Source organism: Homo sapiens, chromosome 7 (genome assembly GCF_000001405.40).
Source record: "Homo sapiens chromosome 7, GRCh38.p14 Primary Assembly".
Taxonomy (NCBI): Eukaryota; Metazoa; Chordata; class Mammalia; order Primates; family Hominidae; genus Homo; species Homo sapiens.
In genome coordinates this window covers 95644435-95655168 of record NC_000007.14, presented here as the reverse complement: position 1 = coordinate 95655168, position 10734 = coordinate 95644435, and the positions used below count along the sequence as shown (strand labels likewise).

At 35.8% G+C, this 10734-nt stretch overlaps 1 long non-coding RNA gene across 1 annotated transcript; it reads right to left on the bottom strand.

The window, feature by feature from the left end:
• Window positions 1–551: 551 nt before the first annotated feature.
• On the bottom strand, window positions 552–9310 carry LOC107986746 (uncharacterized). The gene is made up of 3 exons (XR_001745028.1): window positions 9206–9310; window positions 8800–8887; window positions 552–589 (listed from the first exon to the last, which is right to left on the bottom strand). It is a non-coding gene; the product is annotated as an uncharacterized LOC107986746 (long non-coding RNA).
• Window positions 9311–10734: the final 1424 nt, after the last annotated feature.

Here is a 10734-nt window from a genome sequence, read left to right as displayed (position 1 = left end):
ATGTCTTTCTATTATGAATGTAGGCAACAAATTTGTGTCATTTTTACCAATCAAAAAAATAAACATTTTCATATTATATCAATTTTTGGTAGGTATATTAAAATATTATTTGAATTTTTCTACCCCCAAATCATAGATGTTTTCTACCCCCAAATCATAGATGTTATGAAATCTATTTCTAGATTTTATTTATTTAATGTGCTCATTAAAAAGTACATATATTGGCCAGACGAAGTGGTTCACACCTGCAATCCTAGTACTTTGGGAGGCGGAGGTGGGCAGGTTGCTTGAACCCAGGAGTTTGGGACCAGCCTGGGCAACACAGTGAGATTCTGTCTCTAAATATATGTATATATATATATTTACAAAAATATATATATACAAATAGATATATATATATTTACAAAAAAATATATATACAAATATATATATATTTACAAAAATTAGCCAGGCTTGGTGGCATGTGACTATAGTCCTAGCTTCTTCGGAGGCTGAGGCAGGAGGATCTCTTGAGCCTGGAAGGCAGAGGCTGCAGTGAGCTGTGATCATGCCACTGCACTCCAGCCTGAGTGACAGAGCTAGACCCTGTCTGAAATAAAGAAAAACAAAAAACCCAGAGGTCAAACAAAAGATCATTGCTCCAAAACACACACTTACAGAAATGTAGTAACTTAGCCACAAAAGGGCCCATTTGTTGTAGTGAAATAAAATTAATTTTAAATAGATGGTAAAGAGATATAATGTATATGAACATAGTTTGTAAGCTGTAAGAAGGTTATGTAAATAATGGCATTATTGCTCTATTATCAATGATACTAAAGTGTAAATGACAATAATACCTCTTGAAAATTATTTTTTGCCAAGCTTCATAAAATTTCTTGCATTCCACTCCAGTGGAAAGAAAACTTAAAATGCTTATTTCATCTTCATTCAAAATACAAACTTAATTATAAACTATATATGCTTCTTCCCTATGTAGGGCTTTTCTTCTCCACCCCACCCGTTGAAAGGATTTGCATGTATTAAATATGGCAATTTCTTTATTTCAGATTCTGTGCTCTCTACTTCAAATGTCCTCATCCGTAGGAAAAAAGAGGATTCTGGAAAAATATCATGCAACAAATTCCTTTTAATTTAATAAATGAGATTTTTAAGAAATATGTATTTTTCTATTTCCATAGTTTTCCCCTTTGTATGAAGGTTTTGCATTTAAAGTAACAAAACTTTATTTTTTCCTATTTTATTCCAAAATATCTTATGAAAGGATACATAAATATCACTCCAAACAAGAGGCATTTCATAGAGGAAATGAAAGAGCAAGATAAGGAACTTTCTAAATTGATGTATAGATTCAACACAATCTCTATCAGAATTCTACCTGGCTTCTTTGCAGAAATTGACAATCCAATCCTAAAATTCATATGAAATCCAAAGGACCCAAAATAGCCAAAACAATCTTGAAAGAGATTAACAAAATTGGAGCACTTACAATTCCATATTTCAAAACTTACTATAAAGCAATATTAATCAGGACAGTATAGCACCAGCATAATGACAGGTACATAGACAAACAAAATAATTGAGAGTCCAGAAATAAATCCATTTATCTGTGGTCAATCGATTTTCAACAAGGATGCCAGGAAGATTCAATAGAGAAAGTATTGTCTTTTTAATAAATAGTGCTGAGACACCTGGATAGCTACATGCCAAAAAAAATGAAATAGACCATTATTTTTTACCATATAAAAAATTAACTGACAGCTAGGCACAATGGCTCACGCCTGTAATCCCAACACTTTGGGAGGCCAAAGCGGGAGGATTGCTTGAGCCCAGGAGTTTGAGACCAACCTAGGCAACATAGTGAGACCTTGTCTCTACAAAAATGAAAATTAAAAAATTAGCCAGGCAGGGTACCAGTAGTCCCAGCTACTTGGGAGGCTGAGGTGGGAAGATCGCTTGAACCTGAGGTTTAGTTGTAGAAAGCCATGACTATGCTACTACATTAAGCCTGGGCAACAGAAAGAGCCTTTGTCTCAAAAAAAAAAAAAAACAAAAAAAAAACACTTACGATGGAAAAAAGACTTATGCATAAAAGCCAAAACTACAAAACTCTCAGAAGAGAACATAGGTATAAATCTTCATGACCTTAGATTTGGTACAAACAATCAAAGAAAAAATAACTAATTTTTGAAAATCAAAATTAGAACATTTCAAGCTCCAAAGGACCTCATCCAGAAACTGGAAAGACAACCCACAGAATGGGAGAGAATATTTGCAACTCATATATCTGATAAGGGGCTCGTTTGTTGAATATATTAAAAAACCCTAACAACTCAATAATAAAAAGAGTAACCCAAACGAAAAATGAGGAAAGGATCTAAACAGGCATTTCTCAAAAAAAAAAAAAGATATACAAAAGGCCAACAAACACATGAAAAGATGCTTGACATTATTAGCCATCAGTGAAATGCAAGTCAAAACCACAATGAGATACGACTTTGCATCCACTGCAATGACTATAATAAAAAATGAGACAATAACGAGTGCTGGGAAGAATGGGGAGTTGAAACGCTCGATTTGGTTGGTGGAAATAAAAATAGTGCAGCTGTTGTGCAGGACAATTTGGTGGCCCTCGGAAAGTTAAATACAGCGTTACCATTTGATCCCACAATTCTACTTCTAAGTATATAGCCCCCTAAAAATAAAAACTTATGTTCACTAGAAAAATTTGTATGTGAATATTCATGTAGCATTATTCATGAGGTGGAAATAACTCAAATGTCCATCAACTGAAGAATGGATAAGCAAAAGGTGACAAATCCGTACAATGGAAAATTATTTATCCATAAAAAGGAATGAAGTACTGATCTATGCTAAGACTTATCATACAATCTAGAAATTGCACCGTTGGGCATTTATCCCAGAGAAACAAAGCCTTACTTTCACACAGGAGCTTGTGTGTGAGTGTTCATAGCAGCTTTACTTGTATCAGCCAAAACTAGAAACTATACAAATGCCCTTCAAAGGGTAATCAGTTAAACAAACTGTGGTATAACTATACCATGGAATACTACCCAGAAGCTACTTGGATGAGCCTTAAAGAAACTTTGCTGAGTGGAAAAAAAAAAATCTTAAAGGGATCCATAGTTCATAATTCAATTTATGTAACATCTGTGAAATAACATAAAGAGATGAAGAACACATTAGTGGTTGCCAGGGGTTAGGGATGAAGGATGGAGAAGTGGGTGTGGCTATAAAAGAATAACATGGGGAAATCTTGTAGTACAGCTATGTGTCTCGATTGTGGTGGGGGTTACTCAAGTCTATATGTGATGAAATTGCATAGAACTGTAGATAACACACATAGATGAAGCATGTATAACTGATGAAATCTGAATAAACTTCATGGATTGAAACAATGTTCATTTCTTGGCTTTGATATTACACTTTAGATGCATAAGATGTTCACACTGTGGTGAGGAGAGGGGGAGAATACTCAGGGAAGGATCCAAGGGATTTTCCTGAGCATTTCTTTGCAACTCCTTGTGAATCTATAAATATGTCAACATAAAAACTTTATACAATTTTTTAAAGGGATGTGAAAACAAGATAATAGGCAGAAAAAGTAGTCAAGGTGTTTGTGTGTGCTCTCACTCCCATGCCCTGCCCTGGGAGTGTTTCATTAATAACCACGTGGAAGCTCACTGCTGCTGTGTAATGTCATTACTCTGGGGCTTGTCCATGGAGTACTTTGGGGCAAAATGAGACACAGGAAGATTCTGTCTCACCCCTTGGGTTAAATGATGTTCCAGGGTCTCCAAAGCACTGTTGGTTTCTCACTATTTTCCATGGTGTGATGAAATTATTCTTTCTCCTATTTCTATGTTCTTAACTAAGCTAAAAATATTTTAAATTAAAACATAATACAAGGGGAACAAAACTAAAGCCCACTGGAGACTATTAAAAAATAGAATATCATGTAGCCATTACAATAAATGAATGAATCTCAAAAATATAATATTGAATAAGAAAAAAATCCATTGTAGAAGTTGTGTATTGTAAGGTATAATTCATATAAATTTTAAAACATACAAAACATAAATAGATTCATACAAATGAGATAAAAATTTAAAAATATGAAAGTTCAGATTAGTGGTTCCTTCTGGGGAGGAAAATAGCAGTAACGAGGGGCTTCAACTGTATCTATAATGTTTCAGTTTTTTAAAAAAGTCTAAATCATGCTAAACTTTGATACAGTTGGGTGGTGGGCACCTAAGTGTTGGCCATATTTTTATCTATGCTTCATTGTGTGTTGGAACTATTTTATTTTTTAAAATATTATGCCTATTTCCCACTAAATGCAACAGCTTGAACACATGCTGTTATATCTTCTGCCTCCCCAAAGCTGTCTAATAATCACAATAATGAACAATAATAAACTACTAGGACAAAGAAGCAAGAGACAAAATATTAGCAGATAAAGCACTCACAAAATTTTTTTTAAAAAGTGAACGGACAAATGGTGACTGGATTATTAGGCCAAGGAAAGCAGAAAATATAAACCTTCAAGAGAAAGGAAGAATATTGCTATGGCCTAATTAGTGTCCCCTCAAAATGTATATATTGAAGCTCTAACCCCCAATACCTCAGAATGTGACAGTATTTGGAGACAGGGACTTAAAGGAAGTTATTAAGTAAAAAAGATCCCACTAGGGTGGGCCATAATCCAATCTGGCGGGCGTCCTTATAAGAAGAGGAATTCTAGACACACAGAGAGACACCAAGATGCACACACACAAAGGAAAGACCATGTGGAAACACAGTGAGAAGGAGGCCATCTGCAGACTTAGGAGAGAGGCTTCGGGAGAAATCAAGCCTATCAACACCTCGATCTTGGACTTCTAGCTTCCAGAGCTGTGAGAAATAAATGTCTTGGATAAGCCACGCAGTCTGTGGTATTTTGTTATGGCAGCCCTAGCAAGCGAATCCAAGCATCAATAAGAAGCAAACCAATTTGCATTACAGAATCTCTCCAAAGCTTGGTAACCAGGGATACCACAACCTTCATACATCCTGGTTGTGGTGGACTGAACACAGAAGAACTGGTTCAAGGATTATATAAGACAGAGGTGCACACTGGAAGAGGAAATAAAGGAGGCTTTAAAGAAATATCACCAAGAGAAAAGATGAACCTACGGAGCAGCTGATGTGTTTGCCGTATTTAGAAGAGTTTTACAGTTTAGTCAGAGAAAACGTGTGACTGAATTAATAATAGGTGCATAGAAAACTAAGCCCCCCAAAGACAATTATTAACTTCACAGAAAGAAAATTGAGAAAGGAAAAGTAATCACAAGATAGCATATGGTTCAGCTGTTACAATATTTACACATACATTAGAATGTATCCTCCCCAAACAGTCATGCTTTTGCTTACTCATCCTAAGTGAAGTTCTACTAGTGAGTAAGCCCATACCCTCATACAGAACTTCAAATTATCAATCAGCTTTTTAGCACGTTTTTCCTAAATATGTATAGGATCATCTAATATTTGACGGAAATCTCTACTATGAACAATTATACACAAAAACTCTACACTGTACTTCACATCTATACACAAGAACCCAACTATAATTAATATGACTAAAGATTTAAGAGAAACTATTAATCCATCAAATAAGAAAAAGATCCTATAAAAAGAAGCACTCAACACATAAAAAAGAAGCCATAGAAATTCCAAAAAGATGAAGAGAAGTTTTAAAAATCTCAACAGGAGACTTGCAGTATAAAGATTATTATTATTATTATTATTATTGAGACGGAGTCTCACTGTGTCACCCAGGCTGGAGTGCAGTGGCATGATCTTGGCACACTGCAACCTCCACCTCCCAGGTTCAAGCGATTCTCCTGCCTCAGCCTCCTGAGTAGCTGGGATTAGAGGCGCCCGCCACCACACCTGGCTAACTTTTTGTATTTTCAGTAGGGATGGGGTTTGACCATGTTAGGCAGGCTGGTCTCGAACTCCTGACCTCAGTTGATCCACCCGTCTCGGCCTCCCAAAGTGTTGGGATTACAGGCGTGAGCCACCACACCTGGCCAAAGATGATTATCTTCTAAAAAAGACAAATTTAAAAAGATGAAGAGGTAGTAAATAGAGAGAAAAGAGAATTAGGGGATCAATCCATAAAATCCAAACTTCAATGACTACAAATGTCATAATGAGAGAATAGAGAAAAAGGAGAGAGGAAAGACACTATCAAAGAAATAAGAAAATTTCCAAAAGTCAAACTGAAAAGACTTATCCTGAACAATGGATCAAAAATAGATCTATATTCAGGGATATACCATGAAATGTTAGAACATGTGGTTAAAGAGAGTATTCTCCAAACCATGAGAGAGAAAAGCAAGAATGAAGAAGAGATAAGATCTAGGAAACACAGGAATTGCATAGGAGAAAGATGAATGGAAGTTCAGGATGGTGTAAAAGAAAGTTTCTGAAGAATTGTGTGGATGGCAAGAGATGCACATTGGAAGAGGAAGAAAAGGAGGCTTTAAAGAAACATCACCAAGCCTGGCGCAGTGGCTCACGCCTGTAATCCCAGCACTTCGGGAGGCCGAGGCGGGTGGATCACCTGAGGTCAGGAGTTCGAGACCAGCCTGACTAACATGGTAAGACCTTGTCTCTAATAAATACAAAAAATTAGCCGGGCCTGGTGTCACATGCTTGTAATCCCAGCTACTTGGGAGGCTGAGGCAGGAGAATCTCCCAGGAACCCAGGAGGCGGAGGTTGCAGTGAGCCGAAATTGGGCCATTGCACTTCAGCCTGGGCAACAAGAGCGAAACTCTGTCTCAAAAAAAAAGAAAGAATAAAAAACATCACCAAGAGAAAAGATGAACCTACAGAGCAGTTGATATGTTTGCCATATTTAGAAGAGTTTTAAAGTTCACTCAGAGAAAATGTGTGATTGAATTAATAATAGGTGCATAGAAAACTAAGCCCCCAAAAAGACAATTATGAACCTCACAGAAAAAAAATAAAGAAAAAGTAATTACATACCAGAATATGATTCAGCTGTTACAATATTTACATATACATTAAAATGTAAATATTGAGCAATGATCTAACCAAAATTAATACACATCCGAAGTAGGAGGTGGAAAAAGTGAAGAGGGAAGGACAATAACACAGGTAAATTCTCATCTTCCTTTGCAGGAAGGCAGTGTGTAATGTCTAAATTTGAAAAAAATAAAAGACAACCATATATAAGCATTTTTAAATAAATACCATCAATTGTAAGTGAATGGCAGAATAAAGTTGGTAACTACGGAAAGGTTTTCTTTCAACAGGAAGAGTAAAGAATGGCTTCATGGAGGAAGTGTCTTAGTCAAATTTCTTCTTGTTGCAAGAAACAATTTTACCTTACTTTCATAAGGAAAAAAGGGGATTTTTCAATTGCAACAAAACCAAATATTGTCAAATGAGACCTAATTAAATTAAAGAGCTTCTGCACAGAAAAACAAACTATTAACAGAGTAAACAGACAACCTACAGAAAGGGAGAAAATATTTGCAAGCTATGCATCCAACAAAGGTCTAATAGCCAGAATCTATAAGGAATTTAAACAAATCGACCAGAAATTAACAAACTCCATTAAAAAATGAGCAAAGGACATGAACAGGCACTGTTCAAGAAGACATACACGTGCCTAGCAAGCATATGACAAAATGCTTCACATCACTAATCATTAGAGAAATCCAAATTAAAGCCACAATGAGCTACCATCTCACACCAGTCAAAATGGCTACTATTAAAAAATCAAAAAATAACATGCTGTCAAGGTTGCACAGAAAAGGGAACACTTAACACCGCTGGTGGGAATGGAAATTAGTTCAGCCTCTGTGGAAAACAATGTAGTGATTTCTCAAAGAACTTAAAACAGAAATACCATCCAACCCAGGAATCCCATCATTGGTTATATATCCAAAGAAATAGAAATAATTTTATCATAAAGACACATGCATGTGTATGCTCACTGCAGCACTATTAACAATAGCAAAGACATGGGACCAACCTAAATGCCCATCAAATGGATAAAGAAAATGTGGTACATATACACCATGGATACTACACAGCCATGAAAAAGAACAAGGTCATGTCCTTTGCAACAACATGGATGGTGCTGGAGGCTATTATCCTAAGTGAACTAACGGGAACAGAAAACCAAATACCCCATGTTCTCACTTATAAATGGGGGGTAAACACTGAGTATACATGGACACAAAGAAAGAAACAACAGACACTGGGCCCTCCTTGAGGGTGGAGAAAGGGAGGAGGAAGAGGATCGAAAAACGACCTCTTGGGTACTATGCTTACTACCTGGGTGAAGAAATAATCTGCACATCAAACCCTTGTGACATGCAATTTACCTATATAAAAAACCTACACATGTACCCCTGAACCTAAAATAAAACTTTAAAAAGTGTGTGTGTGGAAGGGGGCTTTTAATTTAAGGCTATCAGGGTAGTTCTTGAAACTTAAATGTAGAAGGTACACCTGAGCCTAATGAGGGACTGGGATCAGGAATCCGGTGCCAAATGGAACAAAGGTTACTATATATAGCCCTTCAGAGTCACAAGATATATGGCCTTTGCTTTTTTATGTGCATCTCCTTTGACTTCTATTTACTTAATGGCTTTCTCAGCTTCTGAGTCCACATGGGCCAAACATAATTGCTGCAGAATGGCATCCTCAACTTCAAAGCCAACATCATCTAGGTCAGAGGGGAACCATCAGAGACTCACCAAATTTCTGAGTCCCAGTTCCAGTTACCAGAAGAGAGGTTCTGAGAGCATCAACTTCGGTCAGGTGTCAATTTTGGTTAGATTTTCCCTGGTAAGGATAGAGGGGTTGTGTATAACAAGCAAACCAGCAGAAGCCTTTACTATGAGCAGAGAGTGAAAGGTGGTTCCCACAGAAGGAGGGGCATAGGCTAAGCAGAAATCCTAATAGGTATCCATTATACATTTTTAAAACAGATATGTTTTGATCAAGGGAGGTATAAGAAAATAATTCCAGGCAGAGGAAAGAAAGCAAGCAAGCACAGGTCTTGCCTGAATAGCAATATATGATTCAATTTAGCTAGCAGAGGGGAAGTGGGGAGTGCAATATAAAATAAGGTTAGAAACATAGATTCTATGACCTTCAGACCTAATCCCCATCCTTCATTTTTGCCCCTTGGTCTGAAGCAGCCGGCGTTCTGTTTGTTCTTTTCTGATGGTTGCTGTGTTTTGTACTGGTTGGTTGCTTAGGATTTGGAAGCCAACCTGTTAAGACCTGTCTGCAAAAGCTTATGGAGGTAACGTACAAACAGGTTTGTATGAGCATCCAGTCTCCTAAAACTGTACAAGGGAACATTTAATATCCTAAATCTTCAATTAAACTGGTTTCATAATCATTTTTCCTACTGGGGTTCAACCCAAATTTTTACTTAAGAAATGTTGAAAGTACTTGTAAGAGAAAAATTAATTTTTCAGTGTCCAGTATGATACCAAATCTCAAATATACCATTGCTTGACAGATGAAATGGTTTTATAAGAAAGTAGAAAAATTTCCTGAAAAAATGTCAGAGTAAAAAATATATCAAGACTCTTTGACAGAACTAATAAAATTGACATACATCTCTGAAGATAAATTTTGAAAAGGTGTGAATTCACTAGTAAACAATATTAGGAATTAAAAAATCAATGGTGCTTCAAAGATTAAAATGATAATAAGAAGGTATTATGAACAACTTTATGTGATACATATAAAGGCTCATATGAAATAAATAAATCTCTAAAAAAATTTTACTTACCAAAATTTACTTAGGAGGATATAGAAAATGTACGGTCTTATAATCATAAAAGAAATTGAATCTGAAGTTAAAAATCTTCTCACAGAAAAGCCAGATCTAGTCAGCGTTGCTAGCAATTTACAGCAAATAAGGAAGAAATAAGTGCAAATATTCAAGAAAAAAATAATTCAAATCTCACACAAATTATTTCGGAATGTAGAAAAGTGGGAATATCCCTAGTTTACCTTATTAGGCTACTTTAACTTTGATACAAAACCCAAAAAAATGTGAGAATGGAATCATAAATTGCAGATCAATCTTGCTTATGTACATAGATATGACAATACCATGCAGAAATAACATAATACAGAAGTGTGTGTGTGTGTGTGTGTGTGTGTGTGTGTGTGTGTTAAGATAATGCTTCATTTGCTGATCCCAGGAGAGCAAGTTTGATTTTACATAAGAAATAAATTATTGTATATCACCCTATTAATACAAGAAAAGAGAAAATTATGTAATCATCTCAATAGATATAGAAAAGGCAATTGATAAAATTCCCCATCTTTTACTAAATGAAAAGAAAATAAGCTAGAAATAAAACAAAACTTCCCTAAACTCACAAAGAGTACCGACAGAAAACCTACAGCTAACATCGTATTTAATGGTGAAATATTGAAAGTATTCTGAGATTAGCAACAAAACAAGGCATCTACTAGCCCCACTTGTATAATATTGTGCTGGAAGTCTTAGCCAATAATGAGAACTGGAAAGAAAGAGAAAAAACTGACTTTTTTTGGAGGTAATGTGTGTATTAGAATTCAAAAGACCCTACAAATACATTTCTGAAATTAATAAGATATTTTAGCACAATTCCAGGATATAAAAATCAATATACAAAAATAAG